The sequence below is a fragment of the Homo sapiens genome, chromosome 14, assembly GCF_000001405.40.
Source record: "Homo sapiens chromosome 14, GRCh38.p14 Primary Assembly".
Classification (NCBI taxonomy): Eukaryota; Metazoa; Chordata; class Mammalia; order Primates; family Hominidae; genus Homo; species Homo sapiens.
The window spans coordinates 93,544,962-93,571,169 of NC_000014.9; the positions used below are offsets into that span (position 1 = coordinate 93,544,962).

The 26,208-nt window shown below is 41.4% G+C and overlaps 1 protein-coding gene across 32 annotated transcripts in view, besides 1 other annotated feature; it reads left to right on the forward strand.

Moving 5' to 3' along the window:
- The window catches only part of UNC79 (unc-79 subunit of NALCN channel complex), a 374,695-nt gene that overhangs the window by 211,780 nt on the left and 136,707 nt on the right, over positions 1-26,208 (forward strand). The window lies entirely within an intron of this gene.
- Positions 14,472-14,974: an enhancer, noted in NCBI's record as "NANOG hESC enhancer chr14:94025779-94026281 (GRCh37/hg19 assembly coordinates)". NCBI's record gives its function as "activates a minimal SCP1, AML or CMV promoter by ChIP-STARR-seq in naive H9 embryonic stem cells {active_cell/tissue: H9 hESC(naive)}" and the evidence as "EXISTENCE:reporter gene assay evidence [ECO:0000049][PMID:30033119]".

Genomic DNA, 26,208 nt, shown 5'->3' on the forward strand with positions numbered 1-26,208 from the left:
ATTGTCCCACTTCAGCTTTTAGGGCTTTGTAACAAGATAACCCAGAGTCTTAATAATGATCTAGGAAGTTAGGTTTTAGTTCTCAGTGGTGCCATGTCAGGTGGGTAGGAGAAAAGTTAGAAGTGTTAATTACTGGCAAAATGGGCAAGACAGAAGGATCTAGTTTACAAAGAGGTGAAAACTATCTCAAAGGTGATGAACAGGACTAGAATCTGATCACTCACAAGGGTGGGTTATAGTTTTTCATCAAAACATAAAATTTCTCTTTACAATCACCTGCATTTTGACCAAAAATAATCAAAGTAAGATTACTTTTGGTTACAAAATTAGTCTCTTTAAATTTGGTCTGATCATTTGCACAAGCACAGCAAGAATGGTAATTGACCACTTAGGGCTTTTTAAAGTTTGCATTGCCAGAACTCTTAAAAGGAATCTCAGATTGGACTTTTAGAGGTTTCTTGATGCTAGAAGTCAGGCCAAGAACTTGTCACCAGATTTCATCTGTAATACTTATAGATTTGGGTGAATTCCTTTCTCCTTGAGGTCTCCCAAATATTCTAAGTTTCCTAGGAAGTGACCTTTTTTACTCATCTGTAAGGCTGAGAATTCTGTAATGCAGGTATCGAATCTGTTTTTCCAAGAGGGCTTTGAAAACCCTGGCTCCATAAAGTCAATCTTAGTTCCTTAAAACTGTTTAGTCATATCAGATTCCATGCAATTCACAAATATGACATTCTGCAAAGACTTAGTAATATAACTGTAACTGCCTGATGGGTTCTTCCTGCCTGCTGCACAAACAACATCGATTCACGGAATTGAGTATAGAAAGAGTTTAATTGACATGAGGCCAGCCGTGCCACACGAGAGACTGAGTTATTGCTCAAATCAGTCTCATCAAAGGCTTGTAGGTTAGGGGTTTCTCAAAGTCAATTTGGAGGAAGGAGTAGGGGTGGCTAGGCAGTGGATGTTTGCTGCTGCTGATGGTTGGGTTGGAGATGAAATCATAGGGAGTTGAAGCTGTCCTCTTATGCTGAGTTGATTATGGGTGCGGACACAGGAGGACATGGCTCCAGGTGGAGCCATGGGTGTCAGACATGCAAAAAAACATGAAAAGCTATCTCAAAAGGCCAATCTTAGGTTCTATCATAGTGATGTTATCCGCAGGAATAATTGGAGAAGCTGCATATCTTGTGACCTCTGGAATAACAGCTGGCAACCATTTATGTCTACACCTTAGCTGAATTCAGGCTCCTTTCCTCCTCATAGCCTTGTGGTCTCTTTAGAAAGGCATTTGAATTTTGGAGAAGGGCTACTATCATTTAAACTATAAGCTAAATATCTCCCAAAGCTAGTTTGGCAGTTTAAATGCTAAAGGCAAGAGGGGGGTTGGCTAGATCCGATCTCCTCCACTGTCATTATTTTCTCACTGTCATAATTTTTGCAAAGGTGGTTTCATAACCAAGTTTCCCAATTATGTCCTGTTAAAAGCAGAACAGATTGTTATTCAACTTATGCAAATAGCTATAATGCTATGAAAATAGGAATATTCAATAAGAGCTTCTGAATTCTGGAGGAATCAAGTAGAGAGAAAAAAGATATATTTCATGTTTGTTTACAAAGGTATAAATCTACCAAATTATTGTGAGTTATAGATAGCTTAGGAGAAAAGAGAAAGGGGTTCCTTGTATCTGAAAAACAGAACATTGATTGAAAAACTAGCAATGTTCTAAACAAAAAACGATACAAATTATAATCATTTATCATTCAGTCCTATGTAATTCAGTCTTGTTCTGCTTGATTGAGTTAGCAGTTAATGAACCCATTAGCTGCTCCACTAGAGTTCTGGCAATCCTTACTCATTCCAGTGGTATGATCTCAATTATTTAAGCAATGCCACCAGAAGCCTGTACCCCAGGGTACCTGTCATAGTCCTTTCCATGGATCTCAGAGACAATCTGTTTATGTTGAAAATAAGCATTTTTGCTAGTAGCTGATTGCAAGAGTTTTCAGAGAAACATCAGATAACAATTACTATCTGAATGACAAAAGGCTTAAAATAGTCATAGTTAAAGATCTGCTGAAAGTTCACTGTGACACAGTTGACAAGGCAGTTTTGTTGTTTCTGTAGCATGAAACATTAAAATAATAACAAAATGATAACTGATAATATTTTGTCATTGTTGTCTACCATCAGACAAAGAAGCATAAAGATGTATCATGCCAGCAAGGGCATTGACAAATTTCTAGGAACTTTATATAATTCCCGAAATATTTGTATTCATAACATTTACCTATACAAATGTAACCTAAGGACAGTTAAACATCTCTTTTTATTTGACAACGCTTTCCATAGACTTCAACTTATCAAATAAACCTAATTAGTTTAATGTATCTTTTTATAGGTAAGAACAAATCCTTTGAGATTTTCAAGCGTCCCTCTGGGAAATTTCAGGTCAGTTCAAGACCAGGATTTTATTTAGGATTTGGCTTTGGAAAGGCAAAATATCAAAAGTTATCAGAAATGTCAAAAGATTTGAGTACTTGATTAACCAACATTACAGGTCACTGTGAAACAATTCTTAGTTATTTATTTAACCTATATGACACTAAGAGATTTCAAAAGTAAATATAGGGAGCAACACAATTGTAAGAAACAAAAAGAGAAACAAAACTTAGCTCTTTTAATATTTAGAAGACTTGGTTCTCTTAAATAGTCTAGGACATGATAAAGACAAAAAGCACAGGAAGGCCAGGAGTAGTGGCTCATGCCTGTAATCCCAGCACTTTGGGAGACCGAGGTTGGAGAATCACTTGAGCCCAAGAGTTTGAGATCAGCCTGGGCAACCTAGGGAGACCTTGTCTCTACAAAAAATAAAAAAAAAATTATCCTGGCATGTTGGCTCGCACCTGTAGTCCCAGATACTTGGGAGGCTGAGGTGAGAGGATCACTGGGAGGTTGAGACTGCAGTGAGCCATGATCACGCACTTGCACTCCAGCCTGGGTGACAGAGTGAGACCCTGTCTCAAAAAAACAAACAACAAAAAATCAAAAACAAAAACAAAAACAAAAAAAACACAGGAAATTATTCTGATAAGACACAGAGTCTTTGTTTCTGTCTTAGTTTCTTCAGTTTGTTTGGGCTGCAAAAAAATACCATAGACTGGGTAGCTTATAAACAACAAATTTCTCACAGTTGTGGAGGCTGGAAAGTCCCAGATCAAGGCAGATTTAGTGTCTGGTGAGGGCCTACGTTCTGGTTCATAGATAGTGCTTTCTGGCAGTGTCCTTATGTGGTGGAAGGGGCAAGGTAGCTCTCTGAGGTCCCTTTTACAAGGGCGTTCATTCATAAAGGCTCTGTTCTCATGATCTAGTCACCTCCCAATAGGCCCCACCTTCTAACATCATCACATTGGTGATTAGGTTTCACCCTAAGAACTTTGCGGGGACACAAATATTCAGACTGTGGTAGTTTCCTAGGCAGATTTTTCAAAAGGTAAAGAAAAACCTTTTACAACCTCTTATTAAGAACAGAAATAAGATAATCTAAAAAATGTTGTTTTTTTAAGAGAGAGAAAATGAAACTCTGGTTTTGCATCAGTACACTGTTAATATTAAAGCTCATTTAAAAACCTCACAGTAAATCTACTCAATCTTAGCCAACATGACCACACAAGATAAAATTCTCTTTCTCTGTCTTCCCCATACTTCCCTTTCAGGTTTTGGTCCTTTCCTCTTCCTCATTCAGGAATAATGAGTAAACAGCTCCTTTAGGAAAGAATTGCTCTTTTTCCTGTAACAAAACCACATTCTACATTACTTGAATACTTTGCACACAGAGGTTTTTCCTTCATCCTGATTATGTCTAGTAGTTCAATTTACATATGATTGATTATAATTTTCAACTCTTATTATCCTTTATTTTCCAGAGAAAACTATTAGACAACTGTGAATTGCCTATTGTATATCAGCATTTTTTGGCATTTTAGCAAATTTTGTGAATATACAATCTCACAATTTCTAGATGCAAATTCTTCTTAGTATGATTCCCCAATGTGGCAAAAAGAACATCCTTTTTAACAAACCCAAATGTCTTTAGCATTTGTAAAAAATAAGAAGCTAAAAGCAGATAAACTTATGATCAGCAATTAATGTGTTAATATTTTATCCTACTTAGAAGTGATCTAGATTTTCAGTGAATACCTGCCATTTAATTTAACTTAGTATACCGTTAAGGTTTCAAGTTACCAAAAAGATTCTGAAAACTACATCTAAGCAGAAACATTATAAAACACAATTACTGTTGCTATAAACTTTGTCAGAATAATGATTCTGTTTAATTAAAATCAAATCTGTATATTCTATAATTTTAAACATTGGTAAATATATTAGTTTATTTGAGTAGTAAGCCCAGGTAGAAGCAAAACGTGTGCTCAGCATGGTACTCAATGCTGATAACTCTGAAAACACAGCTGTTTTTATTAAACCAACAATATTATACTTGTCTCATTTACAGATTTACTGAAATCACGTACACCTGAAAGCATTTGGGTTAGTTCCTATATTTCTGAGAGTTTTAGGAATATTTAATTTATATATGTTAAAATAAAAACCTTAGACAAATTATATTTAACAGAGATTAATTGAGCAAAGAACAACTCACAAGTCAGGCAGCCTCTGAACCAGAATAGATTCAGAAAGGCTCCAGCATAGCCATGTGGTGGAAAAAAAAGACAGGAAAAGAAATGTACAGGAAATGGAAATGAGGTACAGAAACAGCCAGATTGGTTACATCCTGATGTTTGCCTTATTAACAGTTGGCTGCCTTTGATTGGCCAAAAGTCAGTGATTGGCACAAGAGTAGGTTACAATCTGTTTATACATGCAGCTAGGTTACAGTTCACTATGTATATGTAGAAACTGTTGGGCCAAACTTAGAATATGTAAGAAGACAGCTTTAGGCTAGACTTAATTTAACATGTAAGTGTATATGTTTTGCAACTGTCAATCTGAATTAATCAAAAGGATCAGAAACCAGTTTTAAAGCATGTATTTAAGCAAAAAGCTGGAAATGGCCATTCAGCAAACATGGACTTCAGAGAAACGGGGTCAGTGCTCTGCAGTTAAAAGTGAAGGCCTTGCTTATATAGGCAGAAAACAAAGAAATTTAGCAGGATTATAACATTTTCTACACAAGGTTGGTTTATAAATTGCAACAATTTAGTTAGTTACAGTTTGTTTTCATTTCCATACAGCTAGTTTTCGTTGCCTTTCCAATTTAAAAGAGTATGTTTAACATTTCATCCTAGACAATATGATAGTCATGAAGTCTCTGTGAGAGAGGAAAGAGGGAAGTTCTAGCCTGGCCAACATGGTGAAACCTCGTCTCTACTAAAAATACAAAAATTAGCTGGGCATGGTGGCATGTGCCTGTAATCTCAGCTACTTGGGAGGCTGAGGCAGGAGAATTGCTTGAACTCGGGAGGCGGAGGTTGCAGTGAGCCAAGATCGCGGCTCTGCACTCCAGCCTGGGAGACAGAGCAAGACTCCGTATCAAAAAAAAAAAAAAAAAAAAAAAAAAAGAGGAAGGAGTCTTCCCTGGCTCAATTTAGTCATTTACTACATTTTACAAAATAATGTAAGTAAGAAAAAAGGCTAATCTGTAATTAGAAAAACAAGGTTACAGTTGCCTAGGTTGCAGCTGCCTGTTTACATGACTCAGGTCCCATAATCACATTCCCTTAAATATAAAGTTCCAACAGCTTCAATTTTGAGTTACTTGTTTCACAAAACCCATTTAGAATAGAGGTCTCTCAAGGAATTTTATAAAGCAATTTGGCAATATTTTCTGGAGATAAGAAGATACCACATACACATAATGTATATACATATGTTACAGACCACAGGCTCCTTGGCTCTCCATGTAATGGAAATTAATATGGGGCCAAGAGGACTTCCTAGATAAGGCTTTATTTTCAGGACTTGTTCTCAAGTGCAAGGCAGACAGTGGAGGCACAAGAATCCCCGAGCTGGTTCCCCAAAAAGAGCTGGTAGGATTTATTTTTTATTTTATTATTTATTTATTTATTTATTTTATTTTTTTAAATCGAGACGGAGTCTCGCTCTGTAGCCCAGGCTGGAGTGCAGTGGCGCAATCTCGGCTCACTGCAAGCTCCGCCTCCCGGGTTCATGCCATTCTCCTGCCTCAACCTCCCGAGTAGCTGGGACTACAGGCGCCCGTCACTAAGCCCGGCTAATCTTCTGTATTTTTAGTAGAGACGGGGTTTCACCGTGTTAGCCAGGATGGTCTCAATCTCCTGACCTCATGATCTGCCCGCCTCGGCCTCCCAAAGTGCTGGGATTACAGGCGTAAGCCACCGTGCCCGGCCAGGATTTATTTTTTTAAGGCAAAGCATGGGAATTGACATCGGCGGTAGAGTATACAGGCTGGGTTGGGCAGTGCATGTTAGAGGTAGGGTATGCAGGTCAGCAAAGCTGGTTGTGATGGTTGTCTTGAGTTATGGGTCACCTGCTGGTCTGGCCAGTGGCAACAAGGCTGTAAATCAGTTGTTCAGCATTCCTTCCCGAGATGGGAGACTCAGGAACCTTAGTTTAATTTTGGATCTCCTAAGGCCAGTGTCTGGAATTGTTTAAGTAAGAGGCATGGTTAAACATATAAAAGCACAGAAGAACAATACAGAATGGCTGTTTTCTTTGTATGACTATTAATGGATACGCATTGGTGAGGTAGTGGTGTGGGTTTTGAGATCAGTGGGAATGTATGAAAGAATGCTCTAGTGGGTGTGAGCTGAAGCCAAGCCCCACCCTTACTGTCTCATTCCCCTCTGAGATATTTCACTCTCTTTATTCTTAAGGAAAAAGGGCTGAAGATCTCATCTTCTGAAGCTATACTGAACAGCTATGCTGAACAGGGTTGTTGTCCCTGTCTAACCTCAGAGGAACATAGAAATCTCTCACTGACTGTTCTAGAGACCTGTAGGGACTAGAATCCTTCTGGGATGGTATGGGTTGGAATCCTTGGGCCATCATTAGCTTGACTTAGAACTGTTGAAGCCTGGAAGGCATAAACTTTAACCATCTGTACGCCTGTTGAATATAACAAATAATTATTTTAAAAATCAAATAGCACCCAGTGATAATTAATAAAATGCCTAAGTCCAGTTTAATAATGCTATGAGAAGAAATCAGCTGCCATTTGGAATTTAAGTGAATAGGCTGGAGAATGAGTCTCCTGGTGTGTGAAATATAAGGCAAACATACTTTTAATAAGAGACATTTCTATGGAAACAAAAGAAAAACAACTGTTAATGGTGGGCATAATCTACCCAGTTATTAGGCTCAAAGCATCTTTAGTTATGGAGGAGGGTGGTGGCAATTTTTCATGTTTTTTTGCTTGTATTATAAAGAATAAGCCTTAGTTTGCAGGGCCTTAGGAAAAAGGTAGTAGCAATTTCATTAAGTCAGAAAAGTGGAAGAAAATTTTTAAAATGTTAGTTTGGAGACTTGCAGCTCAGAAAATAATATTAAAAAGCTCAAAAACAACAGATAAGACTAGAACCTACAACAGGTATATTATACTCTTTTTCTCTCCAGTCTCTCATTTTTATCAAAGACAAATTATTGTAGGATTGATGTGTTTGCAAATTAAACTTTAGTTTCATTATACTTGTTTTGATTATTTGCGTGAAGTGCAGCAAGAATAATTATTTGCCATATAAACTTTTTTTTTTAATTGGCTTTGCTGGAACTTTGTTTTGTAAGGATTCTCAGATTAGACTTTTTAAAGCTGTGAGCCTAGCTATGGATTCATCTGTGCCTGCAAACACTTGTATGAATTGGGTGAATTCCTCCCCTCTTGAAGTCCAAAGATAACTTGGGGCTCCTGGACCTGTTAGAAAGTGACAGTCTTTACTTACCATAGGTCAGGAACCCTGTACAAGGACTGCATAGACAGGATATGAGGGCAGTTTTTCCAATGGGGTTTTATCGGCTTTAGAAGTCAACCTCAATTTTTAGAAAAGCAGTATGAAAGCATGTCATTCTCATAAAGCCTTGATAAAATAACCAGTTTCCCCAGTTGTGTCCTGTTACAAAAGAAAACAGATTCTTATTGCATGTATGCAAACAACTATATTGCCATAAGTTAAGAATACTCACATATAGTTTCCAAATTCTGCAGAAATCAGGTAGAGAGAAAGAAACATGCTCAAAATTTTGCTTATAGGTTGTAGTTTACTCAATTGTTAAAAGTTGTAAATGGTTTAAAAGGGAAAAAAGTTTTCTTGACTCTGAAAAACAAAACAAAAAGGGTCAGCAGCATTTCTGGAAGAAAAGGTCATAAACAGATTATTTCAATCTCCTATTTGTTTAGTCCATGAAATTAACTCCTGTTCTGCTTGATATTTATGGACACATTAGATCTCCAAGAGGGTCTTACAAGTTTTTCCCTCTATTCTAATGGCTCAGTCTCCAGGTTGTCAGAGACCTGCATCCAAGAGTATCCATGAGAGTCCTTTAGCTGATTATAAATCTTCTTTTGGAATAGATTAAAACAAGACAATTGTCTGTGGATGACAAGAGTCTTAGGACAGCCACAGTTAAAGATGCAATCAACAGGGAAATCTGGTCATTTCTGTGGCACACAATTTAATGTAACAATCTTAATTGTTATTGATAGCAGATACTTAGGCATATCAGAATCATAGGAATCTCATATAACTATGGAATACATATTAATCACACATTTATGTGACTATAATCTAAAAAAAGCTAAACACCATTTTAAATGTGATAGTGTTTCCTGTATGGTTTTGATACACCAAATAAGCTGCATATGTCTCTTTTGGACCTCAGAGGACCTACTACACAAAATGGTTAATTAGGTCAAAAAAGGCTTAATTCAGGATTTTATTTTGGAAAGCTTGTCAAATATCAAAATTTAAAACACTTGACATCACAAAATAGGACCACAGTTTATTTATTTAACCAACATGATTAACTCAAAGATTTCTAAACAGCAAAAATCCTTTAGTCTTTCACAGAGAGAGGACTCAGCTTTCTAAATAACCAGACCCAGTAAAGACAGCATGGCTGGGCATGGTGGGTTATGCCTGTAATCCCAGCACTTTGGGAGGCCGAGTGGGCAGATCACGAGGTCAGGAATTTGAGACCAGCCTGGCCAACACAGTGTAACCCCATCTCCACTAAAAATACAAAAATTAGCTGTGTGTGGTGGCACATGCCTGCAGTCCCAGCTACTCGGGAGGCTGAGGCAGGAGAGTCACTTGAACCCAGGAGGCGGAGGTTGCAGTGAGTTGAGACCATGCCATTGTACTCCAGCCTGGGTGACTGGCTGAAGCAAGACTCTGTCTCAAAAAAAAAAAAAAAAAAATTCTGTCTCTCTCTTTTTCCTGTAGGCGAATGAAAATCTTGCTCAAAAGGGAAAATGAAATTTTACCTTTGCATTAGTATATTAATACTAAAGCTAATTTCAATAACATTTGATGAAGCTATCTAATTTTAACCAGTTTGACCATAAGGTAAGATTTTTATAACCCTTTGCAAATTTTTTGTTTAAGAGCAGATAAATGCTCCAGGAAAACCCTATTATTCTGACACATGAGCCCAGATTCTGGCCCTGTGTTAGCAAGCTTTTATTTTAATATTTAATTTATGGAAAAACTAAATAATACCCTTTTAGCCAACTAGCTCATACACAGAATTTCTGTTTCAAGATTAATCTTTCACAAACCATCTCTAACTGGCTTAAACTTTCAGTTATATTCTATCTTTCTTTTAACCCAAAACAATCCTTAAACAACCTCTAAATTAGGCAAAATAGTTTGTCTTTTAAAAACTACATTCCCATGCCTTTTTCTTAAAAACACCTAATTTTAATTTTTAGTGTATGCAACTTTAATTCTGTACCAAGTGCAGAGCCTGGGAACTACAGGTAATATGTGACTCTTTTCCAGTATAGCTAGGGAGTGTGTCTAATTCTATATATCCCCAGGCCTTACCTAGAATCTAATGGCCCCAAAGCAGGCAAGTCAAACAGTTATCAAAAGTCATAGAAGCAGTTTATAATCTTAAAGCATCTAGCAAGGGCAGTTCCTGACCTGCCTAATTTAGACTGAATGCCTAAATTTTAAAGACATTTAATTTTATTTCATTAATAGTCTTTAAAACTGTCTTTATTTACCAAAGATTACTAAAGCCATGTGAACTAAAGTGTTTATTTTTCTGATAAAATATTTTATTTAAGCATTTATTTTTCTTTAAGCCAATTCATTGGATGTCTTTTACATATCTTGGTAGTAAGACATCACATACATACATGACACATATAAATACACAGACAGAGAAGCAGATCTGGTAGAGTTATAAGATTCTTCATTTGCCAGTTTTTAAGATTTTCTTCCTTTTTTTTAAATTAATTTTTGAGATGGAGTCTCTCTCTGTCACCCAGGCTGGAGAGCAGTGGTGTGATCTTGGCTCACTGCAACCTCTGCTTCCTGGGTTCAGGTGATTATCCTGCCTCAGCCTCCCAAGTAGCTGGGACTACAGGTGCACGCCACCATGCCCGGCTAATTTTTGTATTTTTAGTAGAAATGGGGTTTCACCATGTTGACCAGACTGGTCTCAAATTCCTGGCTTAAAGTGACCCACCTGCCTCAGGCCCCCAAAGTGCTGGGATTACAGGTGTGAACCACCACACCTGGCCAAGATTTCTTTCTCATTTTATTTTAGATAAAGCATCAATCTTTTGATTATCTGTTCTCTGCCCTAAATAATTATCAGTGAGGTAACTCTGATTTTGCATTTTAAAAGGGACAATTCTTAGGTGAAATAAGATAGATAATTTATATTTTACTTAAACCAAGGGAGAAATGGTGTGAGTAAAAGTTTAGGTGAGACAGCCAGGGAAAACAGATACCCTTACATGTGGAGATTTCTTTAAAGATGTAAGTTTTTAAATTGGGTTCAGGGTGGAGCCTTTTAAAGAACAAGGCCAGGAAAGCATGCAGTTTTTAGGGCCTAGTAGGTGGGCACAGCTGGAAGGCAGAACAGATCTCCCAAAATCAAGGATCCCATTTCCACACCAAATACTGGGTCCCCGCAAAGAGGCAAGTGCTATGAGACAAGACAGTGCAATGCTTTCACAGCATGTTTTATTGTAAGGACATTTCCCCAAGGCTGCTGGACAACCCAACATCAACTAGTCTGCTCTGTAATCAGCCCATCCCCCATTTCATACCTTCTAGTTGCCCAAGAGCATGGCTTTTTATGTATGTAAACACAAAAAAAAAGGAGTATCACCCTGTGGTAATAGCCACTCACTGTAAGCAACTGCTATTGGACATTTAAAAAAATATGCCTCTTATTTAGCTATTGCACATTAAGATTCAACATTTCTAAGTAATGCAAAATAATTTCTGATGCCCCCAAAAGTCAAAAAGATCAGGTAACATAATGCAAAACAGAACAGAGCCTCAGATTTTGGGAAGTATCAGTCTGCGTGTAATTCTTTGGGTTCTACTTGGAAAACAGAGGTTTCTCCCAAAACAGGAGTCTGTGGTGCCTCTTCTGTTTCTCTCAAGGAGTTCCAGGCTGTCAGAAATTACCTTAAGTCCTCTCATGCAGGGCAGTGAGGGCGTGTGTGCCAGAGGACAGAGTAAATGGAGAAACAATTCAATTGACTGAGAAAAAAAAAAAACCCAAAAACCTTTTTTTCAAAAAAACAAGATCCAAGAAGAGAAAAAAGCCTAATGGCCTTTTAAATGTATGTATAGCTTGGCTATCCCCTTTTAATTAATATCATTTACCATAGAGCTCTTTAAAAAAAACTCTTTTAAATCTTTAATTTCCAGACCATTGCCTGGCTGTTAGGGACAAACAGCCAATGCCTCTGGCATTTAAGCCTTTTATTCTCCCAAAGGGATTTTCCCAAGTGCAACTGTTACCAGTAAAAGGGGTCTTGATACAGACCCCAAGAGAGGGTTCTTGGATCTCATGCAGGAGGGAATTCAAGGTGAGTGGCAGAGTGCAGTGAGAAGAGAGAGTTTATTGAAAGCTACTCCATTACAGAGAAGGACATCCTTAAGTTTTTCTTGTATAGGGGTCATCTCTATATAAAAGCTAAGCTAAGCCATGTCTATGTAAGTGTGAGCAGAGAGTGTGACAAAATTTATATTCTATTGATTTAAAGAAAACTATCCTTGATGTTTTAGTGTGTGAATACATCAAACCATAACTATAACAATCTTGAAGCCATATTTTGTTATGGGTATTGGGACATCTGGACTTTCTGCTGTTGTGGGAGTGTCTTTGCCGGTATCTTAGGCTGTTTCCTCAACTGTAAATATCTCATGACTGTGGGTAGTGACCAACAAGGAATATGCCCAGTTAATCTGAAGATGGAGCTGAACTTAAAATGGGGTTACTCTGGCTCTCCTAGGCTCCTGCTTCCCTAACAAATCCAATAAGCCTTAATGAAGGTTATGATTTAACCATAGCTGCACAAAGTATCAACAAAGAGATTGCAAGCAGTTTTTACAAGATGTAGAATCGCCTCCTAGATAGCTCAGAGAAAGGAAAATTCTAGACAGAAAATCACAAGCTGCCTGACATAACCTAAACATTTCCGCCCTCTGAATGGTAGAGATGGAGAGAGAGTACCCCCATATGGTCACAAAGACAATGGAGGGAAAAAGAATAAATAAATGGCAAAGGTCAGATAAATATCAAACCAGAAGGGACTCATTCCCTAAGATGGGAATTGAACCCATGCCACCATCATGAATGGGCAAAGCCTTAGCCACAGAGCTACAGTATTGTTCTTCCCAGAAGTAATCTAGAGCAGACAGTTTCAAGTTTGCAAAGGATTTTAACTGCTTAAGAGAATCCTTAAGGCTAGCCATGACATTATCATGTGTCCTTTCAGACTGGCTGCCTTACATGAACCTGAAAATTTCCACCCTGTGGATGGCAGAGACTGAGAGAGAATACCCCCACATGGTCAAAAAGTCAAGCTTTCAAGGACATAAAACAAGACAAGAGGGAAACTACATTTGGTTTTTGTTTCAGGGACCCATAGCGAAGTTTGTAGCTGACCAATCTGCAGGGCTGGCTCAAACAGCAGACTTATAGGGGTCCTACACCCACATTCTATTCTGTGGCAACCCCTCCATGACAGAACAACGCAGAACAACAAATTCATATCACAGTACAGCAGATTCGCTACAACCTAAGACTAGTTTCCCACATCTTTTTTCTCATTAATCAAAACCTTGCAGGCTGGGCGCGGTGGCTCACGCCTGTAATCCCAGCACTTTGGGAGGCTGAGGCGGGCAGATCATGAGGTCAGGAGATCGAGACCATCCTGGCTAACACGGTGAAACCCCGTCTCTACTAAAAATACAAAAAATTAGCCCGGTGCGGTGGCGGGTGCCTGTAGTCCCAGCTACTCAGGAGGCTGAGGCAGGAGAATGGCGTGAACCCCGGAGGCGGAGCTTGCATTGAGCCGAGATCGCGCCACTGCACTCCAGCCTGGGGGACAGAGCAAGACTCCATTTAAAAAAAAAAAAAAATCTTGTAGAGGAGAGAAACAGGGATTTTTTTTTTTTTTTTTTTTTTTTTTTTTTTTTTTTTTTTTTTTACCATTTACTTAACTGGTTTGCACAGAGAGCGAGAGGCCGGGGCCCTGGCTGGTAAGAAATTCTTACCCTTTTGCCTGCATGCCAGGGTTTTGGTTTCCCTGTCTCTGCAGCTTCCATAAGAGCAGAGCAGCTTTTGATGACCCTGTTCGCTGTGCCATAACTGTGGAGGCCAAGCTGCGTTATAATAGAAAATCTTCCTTTTCTGTTTCATGGAACCTTAGACAGAAGCTTCTCATTTTTCCAAGATGCCACCCAGTGGGCCGCATGGGGGAATAAGATGTCAAATTAAACACAAAAAAAGGAAAAATGGATCAGGATGTGAGTGATACAGACTCTGGACCCATGTGCTGCCAATTCTCTCCTCTCAAAGACAGCACTGATAAAAGAAAAACTTCAGCTGAATTAAATTTAAAAGAGCTTAATGAGCAATGAACAATTTGTGAATTGGGCAGCCCCCAGAATCACAGCTGATTCACAGAGACTCCAGCACAACAGCTATGTGTGCTGTGCTGGAGTATAAAGATTTATAAACAAAAACAGGGAAGTGACCTACAGAAATTGGCAGTGAGGTGCAGAAACAGCTGGATTGGTTACAGGTTGGCGCTTGCCTTATCTGAACACAGTTTGAACACTTAGCAGTCTATATGAGTGGTTGAGGTATGGCCGCTTCAACGGCCAAGACTCAGTTATTGGCACATACTACTAAGTTAGGTTTTTAATCTTTTCTGACTACTAAGCTAGTGGAGGAAATTTTCATGCACGTCTGTGTGAAAAGACCACCAAACAGGCTTTGTGTGAGCACTAAAGCTTTTTAATCACCTGGGTGCAGGTGGGCTGAGTCCAAAAAGAGAGTCAGCAAAGGGAGATAGGGGTGGGGCCATTTTATAGGATTTGGGTAGGTAGTGGAAAATTACAGTCAAAGGGGTTGTTCTCTGGCTGGCAGGGGTGGGGGTCACAAGGTGCTCAATGGGGGAGCTTTTGAGCCAGGATGAGCCAGGAGAAGGAATTTCACAAGGTAATGTCATCAGTTAAGGCAGGGACTGGCCATTTTCACTTCTTTTGTGGTGGAATGTCATCAGTTAAGGCAGGAACCGACCATTTTCACTTCTTTTGTGATTCTTCACTTTCTTCGGGCCATCTGGACATATCTGTGCAGGTCACAGGGGATACGATGGCTTAGCTTGGGCTCAGAGGCCTGACATTCCTGTTTTCTTATATTAATAAGAAAAATAACATAAAATAGTGTTGAAGTGTTGGGACAGGGAAAATTTTTTGGGGGGTGGCATGGAGAGATAATGGGCGATGTTTCTCAGGGGTGCTTCAAGCGGGATTAGGGGCGGCTTGGGAACCTAGAGTAGGAGAGGTCAAGTTGAAGGAGGATTTTGTGGTAAGGGGTGATATTGTGGGATTGTTAGAAGGAGCATTTGTCGTATAGAATGATTGGTGATGGCCTGGATACGGTTTTGGATTAATTGAGAAACTAAACGGAAGGTACAAGGTTTGAATAAAAGAAAGAAAAAAATAGGTATTAAAGGACTAAGAATTGGGAGGACCCAGGACATCCAATTAGAGAGTGCCCAAGGGGGTTCAGCGTAATTACTTGCTTGGTTGGTGAGTTTTGGGGCTCTATCCTTGAGTTTTTTTATGTTGTCATGTACCAGGCCAGATCGATTTAGGTAAAAACAACAATCTTCATTTAAAAATATACAGAGTCCTCCTTTTTCAGCAGTGAGTAAGTCAAGGCCTCGGCAGTTTTGGAGGACAACTGCAGCTTAAAGAGTCAACTTGGGCCTGAAGGACTGATAAAGTTTGTGATATCTCTGTGATGCTAGCAGAGAAGTCATTAGAGAGGCTACGGAAGGTCGTGATAGAGGTTGAAATGCCTGCCATTCTAGTATCGAGAGCAATAGTGGAGGCAGAAAGTCGTAAACTGACAAGCAAGGATATTAGTGGAATAACTCTTTTTTGTCATCTCAGTGTCATGAGGGGAACAGGGAGCTCTTCGGTCCCATTCGCAAATTGAATTTTGGGAGTAAGGAAAACTAGTGTGCATGTGCCTGTCCAATTAGCAGGTAGCCACATGTAGGTAGAGGATCCACAGAGGAAGAAGAGAGCTTGTGCCAGGCAAAACTGGAAATGCAAAGTAAAAAGATGAGAAGGAATGCTGAAAGGGGTGTCTTGTACCCAGACTCCTAGGGATCCAGCTAGGGCGGCAGCCGTCAGAGGTTGTAATGGGGACTGATGGGGTAACTGCATAGAGGGAGAGGCTCGATTTTCATGGTGTATGAGAAAACGTTGAGTGCCCACGAGCAACCTTTCACTGTTATTTATGGGGCTGGGTATAAGTAAACAAGAAGAGGGCCTGGGAGGAGAGTCTGAAGAGCAAGGGGAAGGTAGCCAAGGATGGAGGGAAATACAGGGTGTCTTCCTAAGCAATAATTACTGCTAATGTTTTTAAGTTTGCCAGTATTGATAGAAGGCTTATCTGTAATATGGAGCTGTAAGGCTCCAATTGTTTCAGTGATGTATGTAGTTGGGCTTTGGAGATGAAGAGTGAAGGAACATCAAGAAGGGGAATTCCAGTGGGTCTTTGCTGAGAGATACATAAAGGAGCAGCCACAGGAAAAGTAGTTTTTGTTGTGAGGGGTCCAAATATGGGGGGAGTAGAGTTGATATAAGGAGAAAGGTTTTTAAAGTAAGTGTGGAGGAGGGCAGCAGCTTGCTGATGTGAAATGTCTGGGGAGGTCTTGCTGGACCTGTCTAGAAAGTAAAGAAGTTCTTCAGGAGGGTAAAGGTGAGGGCTATTAAAGGAAGTTTGGAGGTGTAGGGAGACAGGAGATGTTTCCCAGCCTGTATATAAGACGGGGGCAGCTGTGTAGGCGCAGGAGGAAAGGGAAATGCAAAGCAAGCAATTGCTCGCTAAGGAGGGATTAGAAATGGCTAGGAGAGAGTGAGTAAGATTGATAGTGTGGTGGAGATAGCTGGGGAGAGGTAGAGGGTGGCATAAGAATGGGAATGAGAATAAGATTGAGTATAAAAATAAAGAATAGAACTTCATCAGGGTGAAAGTATTGGAGGGTGCCCTGCCAGCAAAGATCATCTATCCACTCTAAGAGGGAGTTAAGAGTGGCGGTTTGGGGATAGCACCAGGAGATATCAGCTGCGATGGCTTGGAGAAACAGTGTAAACTGGCAGTATAAACAAGAGTAGGGCATTTATGAGTAGTTGAGAACGGTGAATAGGAGTGTGACTAGACAGAAGACAGCAGGGATGACCAGTTTTTGGGGCGCAGTCCAAGTAGTGGGGGTGACTGCATAAAGCCCTGTTGCAAAAAGTAGGGTAAGGACGAATAGACCTAATAGAATGAAGGGATGTATTAGGCTCATAAGGGTTATTACTGTTCTTCAGAAATGCAAGTGAGTTTAAGGGAAGTAGTGGGGAGTACTTGCGACTTCCAGGAGGAAGAAGAGAGATTAGGCTGGCTGTCCAATGGACACAGCTTTATTCTGGAACGGTGAACCCAGTGGGGAGGATCCTGCAGGTGGATGGCAGTTGGGGTACTATAGATGACTAAGTAGGGTCTGGTCCATCAAGGTTGTAGAATTTGAGGGGTCAGATTCTTAACAAGAACTGATTGTCCAGGTAGGGTGTCTTCATATGGCTGAGAATCTGGAGTAGGCAAGAGAAGATTAGCAGCCTGGCAAATTTCCTGTCTATCCTGCCGGAGGACTGGAAGATAGTTGCCTAGAGGACTGCTGTCTGGGACGAGGTTGGGGCTGAGCAAGAAAGTGCGTCCACATAAAAGTTCAAATGGGCTGTACCCTGTAGCATCTCAAGGACAGGCTCTAATTCTGAGAAGGGCAAGAGGTAAAAGTACTGTCCAGTCCTTTTTAAGTTGGAGGCTGAGCTTGGTGAGGTGTGTTTTTAAAAGACCATTAGTCTGTTCTACCTTTCCTGAAGATTGAGGACGGTAAGAGATATGAAGGTTCCACTGAATACCAAGAGCCTGAGAAACTGCTTGGGTGATTTGACTAGTAAAGGCCGGTCCATTATCGGACTCTATAGAGGTGGGAAGGCCAAACCGAGGAATTATGTCTGACAGAAGGGAAGAAGTGACTGCGGTGGCCTTCTCAGACCCTGTGGGAAAGGCCTCTACCCATCCAGTGAAAGTGTCTACCCAGACCAAGAGGTATTTTAGTTTCCTGACTCGGGGCATGTGAGTAAAGTCAATTTGCCAGTCCTGGGCAGGGGCAAATCCCCGAGCTTGATGTGAAGGGAAGGGAGGGGGTCTGAACAATCCCTGAGGGGTAGTAGAATAGCAGATGGAACACTGGGAAGTGATTTCCTTGAGGATAGATTTCCACTATGGAAAGGAAATGAGAGGTTCTAAGAGACGGGCTAGCGGCTTGTAACCTACATGGAAGAGGTTATGAAATGATGACAGAATACAATGGGTCTGTGAGGCTGGAAGGAGATATTTTCCTTGGTCTAAGAACCATTTGCCTTGTGTGGGAAGAGATTGATAGGTGGAAGTTTCAAAGGGGGAGTAGGTGGGAGTGACCAATGAGAAGGAGAAAAACTGCCATGAGGGACAGAAGTTGGAAAGCTAGCTGCTTCTTTAGCTACCTTATCAGCAGAAGTGTTGCCCAGAGCAATGGGATCTGATGCCTTTTGATGGCCCTTGCAGTGAATGACTCCAGCTTCCTTTGGAAGTAAAGTGGTCTTGAGAAGAGTTTTTATTAAGGAGACACTAATGATGGAGGACCCTTGTACAGTGAGGAAACCTTTCTCAGCCTATATAACAGCATGGTGGTACAGGATATGGAAGGCATATTTAGAGTCAGTATAAATATTGATGCGTAGTCCCTTTGCAATAGTGAGGGCCTGAGTTAAGGCAGTGAGTTCGGCTTGCTGAGAGGTAGTGCAGCGGGGGCAGAGCAGTAGCCTCAATGATAGATGTGGAAGATACTACTACAGCATAGCCTGCTTTTGCTGGTGAGTGGCGATTAGGCCTGGTGGAACTGCCATCAATAAACCAAATGTGATCAGGGTGAGGAACAGGAAAGAAGGAAATATGGGGAAATGGGGTGAATGTCAGGTAGATCAGAGAGATATAGTCATGGGGGTCAGGTGTAGTATCCAGAATAATGTGGGAGCCCGGATTGAAGTCTGGGCCAGGAACAATGGTAATTGTGGGAGACTCAACAAAGAGTGAGTATAGCTGAAGGAGCCAGGGAGCAGAAAGTATATGCATCAGGTGTGAGGAAGAAAATGAAGAAAATAGATTTTGGAAGTTATGAGAGCTGTAGAGAGTGAGTTGAGCATAGTTCATGATTTTGAGGGCCTCTGAAAGTATTAGGGCAGTGGCAGCCACTGCACGGAGGCATGATGGCCAGCCTAAAACAGTAAGGTCAAGTTGTTTGGACAAAAAGGCTACAGGGTGCATTCCCAGTCCTTGTGTAAGAATTCTGACTGCACAGCCCTGCACTTCGGCTGTGTGCAATGAAAAGGGTTGGGATGAGTCAGGGAGAGCTAGGGTGGGAGCAGTCTCTAAAGCTGTCTTCAAGCAACGGAAAGAGGAGTGGGGAAAGGATTTAGGATCTATGGGGTCAGCTAGGTTTCCATTTGTGAGTTTATATAATGGTTTTGTTAGGATGGCAAAACCAGGTATCCAAAGGCAAAAGTATCCAACCATGCCTAGGAAGGAAAGGAGTTGTTGTTTTGTAGAAGGTGTTGGCATTTGAGAGATCAGTTGGACATGATCGGCAGGGAGAGCACGTGTGTTACCTATTGAGGTAGGTAACGGATGGAGAAGAAATTTGAGCTTTGGATGGGGATACCCGATATCCTTTGGAGAATAAACGTTGAAGGAGCAGGAGGACAGGGGATTGATCTCCCAAGGGAGGTCCCCCAATCTGAGTCACGGCACCGAATTTCACACGCGTCCATGTGAAGAGACCACCAAACAGGCTTTGTGTGAGCAATAAAGCTTTTTAATCACCTGGGTGCAGGCGGGCTGAGTCTGGAAAGAGAGTCAGCGAAGGGAGATAGGGGTGGGGCCGTTTTATAGGATTTGGGTAGGTAGTGGAAAATTACAGTCAAAGGAGGTTGTTCTCTGGCTGGCAGGGGTGGGGGTCACAAGGTGCTCAGTGGGGGAGCTTTTGAGCCAGGATGAGCCAGGAGAAGGAATTTCACAAGGTAATGTCATCAGTTAAGGCAGGAGCCGGCCATTTTCACTTCTTTTTTAATTTCCAATTACTTCAGGCCATCTGGATGTACACGTGCAGGTCACAGGGGTTACGATGGCTTAGCTTAGGCTCAGAGGCTTGACAGAAATGTGCTCCCCCAAATTATAAGAGGCGTGCCTACGGGTCCAAACCCAAAGAATGGGCTAAGAGACCAGAAGTACAGCGAAAGTGAAACTTGACTGTCAGTCTTGCAAGATCAGGTGTCCATTGAGCAGGCACATCTGGTACAGTTACAGCAATCAATTTATCCCCTAGTGCGCAAGTCCCTCCCCCGGTTCCTGTAGGCTGAGCACTGTGGGGTTACAATCTTCCTGGACGTAGTCACCTAAGTTTCTTTTCTTGTTTTTTATTGGTCGTTGGGTTGGGGCTTTTGGTACTTTCTTCAGGGTCTTCTTGCTGCATTTTGTTGCAGCCCTTAATGCATTGTAATTGTAGTCAGCTCTGGGACTCTTCAAGTATTTGACCTATGACCCAGGGGGTTAAGCGAGCTGTTAGGAATAGACAAGGTGAGCTATTTTTGCAAGCTAGTAAACTTCCATTCTAAGCTAAATCCTCTGGTTTGGGTGAGGGTAACTAAAGGGTCCCAATAAGCAGGCACTGGCTATTAAAGCAGGGCCCTAGGGTATCCTGTTCTTCTATAGCTTACAGGTCGAAGTGTATTCAAGGTATTTTGTCTTGAAAATGGACCACCATATATGTTGTTTTCTACAGCTAGGTTACATCCACAGGGACTCAAATATAGAAGTATGGAGTTCTTCTCAGGCCGTATTTAGTTTGCTTTAACAGCAAACTAACAGTCAGTAGCTTCACACTGAAACAGACAGACGACAGGGAAGTCCACAGGCTTCCCTTCCCCACAAGGTGTGGCAAAGGGAGGGAGAATACTTAGAAGACTTAAAGAAGATTACAGAGTTCAAAGCCAGGGCACTAAACAGAGTTTTCTAAACTGATCAGCTGTTTCAATCCATCCTGCATGGGTGACTATTCAGGCTGAGCCAAGCCACCATTTCAACATGTCCTGTGTGGGTATCTATTCGGTTGGAGCTGATGAAGTTAGTGAAAACCAAAAGAAAGGAAGGAGGGAGGAAGAAGAAGGAAAAATAAAAACACAACAAATAGGGGACAGGAGAGGAGGGAAAGCATAGCTTAGAGGGGTGGCAAGGAGTCTTGGGGAGGCTGGAGGAAAACTCCCAGTTGCAGCAATACTAAACCGAAGTTTCAGACAGCTGCCCATCAGCTGCAGAGGGGTCCGGCCATCATGCTGGCTCACAAGCCTCCCGCTTGGGAGAGAAAAATGTTCCCCATGTCCTGTGGACCTGCATTGGTTGCCGGAGAATCTCTTATAAACCAGACTCTTTGGCTCCCCATGTAATGGAAATTGACATGGGGCCAAGTGGATTTCCTAGACAAGGGTTTTATTTCAGGGCTTGTGCTCAAGAGCAAGGGAGACAGTGGAAGTGCAAGAATCCTCCCACTGGTTTTCTAAAAAGCATTGGTAGGGATTGTTTTATTAGGCAAAGAGCGGGAATTGACATCAGGGGTAAGGTGTGCAGGCTGGGCTGGGCAGAGCATGTTAAAGGTAAGGTACACAGGTCAGCATAGCCGGTTGTGATGGTTACCTTGAGTAACAGGCCACCTGGTGGTCTGGCCCGCGGCAACAATGCTGTAAATCAATAGTTCAGCATTCCTTCTTGAGTAGGGACACTCCACAACCTTGGTTCGATTTTGGATACCCTTAGGCCAGTTTCTGGAATTTTTTTTTTTTTTTTTGAGACGGAATCTTGCTCTGTTGCCAGGCAGGAGTGCAGTGGCATGATCTCGGCTCACTGCAACCTCTGCCTCCCGGGTTCAAGCGATTCTCCTGCCTCAGCCTCCTGAGTAGCTGCGACTACAGGCACACACCACCATGTCCAGTAGAGATGGTATTTCACCATGTTGGCAAGGATGGTCTTGATCTCCTGACCTCGTGATCTGCCCACCTTGGCCTCCCAAAGTGCTGGGATTACAGGCTTGAGCCACCACGCTCGGCCTGGAATTCTTTAAGTAAAAGACATGGTTAAACATGAAAGCCCAAAAGAATAATATAGTGTTAAATCAAGTTTAACCTAAAACTGCCTCCTTACATCCTTTGGCCTAAAACATACTTTAAGTTTGGCCTAAAAGTTTCTCTGTACATCGTGATCTGTAACAAGTGGAGGTTATGAATGGACCATAGCCTACACTGTGCCAATCACCGAGTTTTGGCCAGTCAAATGTAGCCAACTGTTGGAACCATGTTCACAAAAGGCAAATGCCAACCTATACCCAATCCAGCTATTTCTGTACTCACTTTTCTTTCTTTCTGTTGTATTTTTTTGAGACGGAATTTCATTCTTGTTGCCCAGGCTGGAGTGTAGTGGCGCAATCTCGGCTCAGTGCAACCTCCGCCTCCCAGGTTCAAGCGATTCTCCTGCCTTGGCTTCCCAAGTAGCTGGGATTACAGGTGCCCACCACCATGCCTGGCCAATTTTTTGTATTTTTAGTAGTGATGGGGTTTCCCCATGTTGGGCAGGCTGGTCTCGAACACCTGACCTCAGGTGATCCACCCATCTTGGCCTCCCAAAGTGCTGGGATTACCGGTGTGAGCCACCATGCCCGGCCTCACTTTTCTTTTCTGTCCGTCACTTTCCTTTTTCTGTCCATAAATCTTCTTCCACCACGTGGCTATGCTGGAGTCTCTGAGCCTACTCTGGCTCAGAAAGCTGCCCAATTTGTGAATTGTTTATTGCTCAATTAAACTCCTTTGCATTTAATTCGGCTGAAGTTTTTCTTTTATCAGTAGAATGACTACTTTCTTTTGTGAACCCCGAATATCTGAGATGGTCTCAGTTAGTTTAGAAAGTTTATTTTGCCAAGGTTGAGGATGTGCACCTGTGACACAGCCTCAGGAAAGACATGTGCCCAAGGTGCTCGGGCACAGCTTGGTTTTATACATTTTAGGGAGACATGAGACATCAATCAATATATGTAAGAAATACATTGGTTCTGTCCAGAAAGGCGGGGACAACTCGAAACAGGGAGGGAGCTTCCAGATCACAGGTAGGTGAGAGACAAATGGTTGCATTCTTTTTGAGTTTCTGATTAGCCTTTCCAAAGGAGGCAGTCAGATATGCACCTATCTCAGTGTGGCAGAGGGAAGACTTTGAATAGAATGGGAGGCAGATTTGCCCTGAGCAGTTCCCAGCTTGACATTTCCCTTTAGCTTAGTAATTTTGGTGCCCAAGGTTTTCCTTTCACACTTTGTATGACTATTAATGGGTCTTAATATAACTATTAATGGGTATGGTGTCAGTGAGGTAGCATAGTGTTGTTTTGTGATCAGTGGGAATGCGTGAAAGAATGCTCTACTGGGGGAGAGCTGAGCCAAGCTCCATCCTTACTCTGTCTCACATAGACATACACAAACATACAGACACAAATAGAGACCTTATAACTTTCAAAAAGTGATATAAAACTTACTAGTTTAGGCCAGGTGTGGGGGCTCACACCTGTAATCCCAGCAGTTTGGGAGGCCGAGGAGCATGGATCACCTGAGGTCAGGAGTTCAAGACCAGCCTGGCCAATGTGGTGAAACCCCATCTGTACTAAAAATACAAAAATTAGCTGGGTGTGGTGGCGGGTGGCTGTAATCCCAGCTTGGGAGGCTGAGGCAGGAGAATCACTTGAATCTGGGAGGTGGAGGCTGCAGTGAGCCCAGATCACACCATTGCACTCCAGCCTGGGTAACAGGAGCGAAACTCCGTCTCAAAAAAATAAAATAAATAAAAAACAAAAAACAAAAACAAACAAACAAAAAAACTTACTAGTTTATATAAGAGCTCTTTTTCATCTTTGCCTCACTTTTATTTAAATTGTGTTTCTGGCAGATGGAACAAGTTTTTACCTATTCATTATAAGGGCTAATGCTTTTTATTGATATTTGTGGGGGAAACCTTTAAGATCTTTTTAGTTGCCCTGATATATAATCTCATAGAGGCTGTGGCTCAGCCTCAGGTTGTTGCTTTAGTCAATGGCAAAGCTACTTTTTAAAGTGGGCCGAGCTAAGGAAAAAGGCATTGGAGTTTTCTTAGGAGACTGGGGTTTTAATTAGTATTTATCAGGAGGGGAAGTAAATTTCTTGAATTTTGTGATAAGAAGCAGTACTACAAGTAAAAGTGAGGAGCCTCAATTCTGGGGTCTAAAGCAGAATTACTTCCTTGGATGTTTGCATTTTAAAGAGATGGCTCTTGGCTGGGTGTGGTGGCTCACGCCTGTAATCCCAGCACTTTGGGAGGCCAAGGCGGGCAGACTGCCTCAGGTCAGGAGATGGAGACCATCCTGGCCAACATGGTGAAACCCCGTCTCTACTAAAAATACAAAAATTAGCCAGGTGTGGTGGCACACGACTGTAGTCCCATGCAACTCGGGAGGCTGAGGCAGGATAACTGCTTGAACTGGGGAGGCAGAGGTTGCAGTGAACTGAAATCGCGCCATTGCACTCCAGCCTGGGTGACAGAGCCAGACTCCATCTCCAAAAAAAATAAAAAATAAAAAATAAGAGATTGCTGTCAGGTTCTTGAGAATTTAGTTCTGGATGGTAGAAGATTTACATCTGAAAAGGGGAGAGGAATTATGCAGACTTTTAAAGTAACTGGTCTTAGAGGATTTCCAGGGACATATTTGCCTATTGTCAGGTTTTGGTCTGTGACAAACAGGAAATTCTCCCAGCAGTGTTGAGCTTTAACATGTAGGTGCTTAAGGGAGGATGGGGGAATGGACAATTATTTGTCTGGAGAGTCTGCAGTGTTTACATGTCCAGGCTGAGGCCCAGGAAAATTACTATTTAAGTTCTCCTTCTTAAGGGCAGGACAGTCCATTTTCCAGTGTCCTGGCATTTTATAGTATCTGCAAGCATCTTTTGGAGGGGAGGTTTTGGGATTGGTAAGAAGGATGGATGGAGCTTTAGGTTATTCCTAAAGCCACATTTCTGTTTTTGTAAAGACTCAGTAAAGCCAGAACATTTATTTATTTTTAAAAAATATTTATTTATTTGTTTGTTAGATATGGGGTCTCACTCTGTGGCCCAGGCTGGAGTATAGTAGCACAACCATAGCTCACTGCAGCCTCAAACTTCTGGGCTCAGTCGATCCTCCCACTTCAGCCTCCCAAGTAAATGGAACTACAGGTGCATACCACCATGCCTGGCTAATTTAAAAAAATTTTGTTTAGATACAGGGTCTCACTGTGCTGCTCAGGCTGGTCTTGAACTCCTGGCCTCAGGCGATCTTTTTGCCTCAGCCTAGAACAGTTATTTTTTTAATACCTCAAAGAATTGGGTGGTGACATCAACAATAGCATTCACGGATTGGCCTGCCCATCCAACTGCCCTATTTTGAAATTGTCCCCTTAGGTCGGAGAGAAAATTTCTAACTGACATGGAAACCAAAAGATTCCTGTGTTCCAGGGCTTCTGAATTTAGAGCTGTGTGCCTTTGGAATGTTTTTATAAATCTTTTAACAGAGCCTTTAGGATAAATTCCTGCCCTCTGAGCATATCATTCCACTTCAGCCCATTGACCTGTAAAGGGAAGTCTTCCATAATATCTCCTATCAGACTGGACTATCAGCCTTCCCCTGGGCCATGTGCAGGAGGAAGGTGGTGAAGGGGAGTTTATGGTGGGTGTAGATTTAAATTTTTGTTCTAAATCTGATTTCTGTTATTTAATTTTATTAAGGGAGCGTTTTAGGCTAGCTGTGATACTTTTTGTGTCCTTCTTTCCATTTCATCCTCCCCTATGGGTAATTAGGACATTTGCTTAGGGTAAGTGCTCTCTAAAAATCCTTTTAAATATGAAAGCTCTTCCAACCCAAAGGATCTGTCTTCTGGCCACTGACAATTTAGGGTTTCCAAAAGCGTACTTGTTCCAACGTACTATTCAAAACCAATAAGCCTTATTATGTGGCTTGACCATAAACTACATAGCCAAAAAACTTCAGTAATGATATATTTCAGGATCTCAGTGTTATTAGTGCTGGCTCTTTTCTGTCTGTACCTGTAACTAACAACAACACAACAGAAATTATAGAAATATAGTCATTTCTTGAAAATATTTAGTCAATTGTCTTGTCTAGGATTTTGGTCAATATGGCACCAAATAGATATTGGAGCTTTAAAATAGAATTGATTGATTTTTTGGAATAATCTGGAATTCTAGATGTAATAAACATTTAAAATTGAATTCATTTAAATTAAGGTAGTTTCTCAC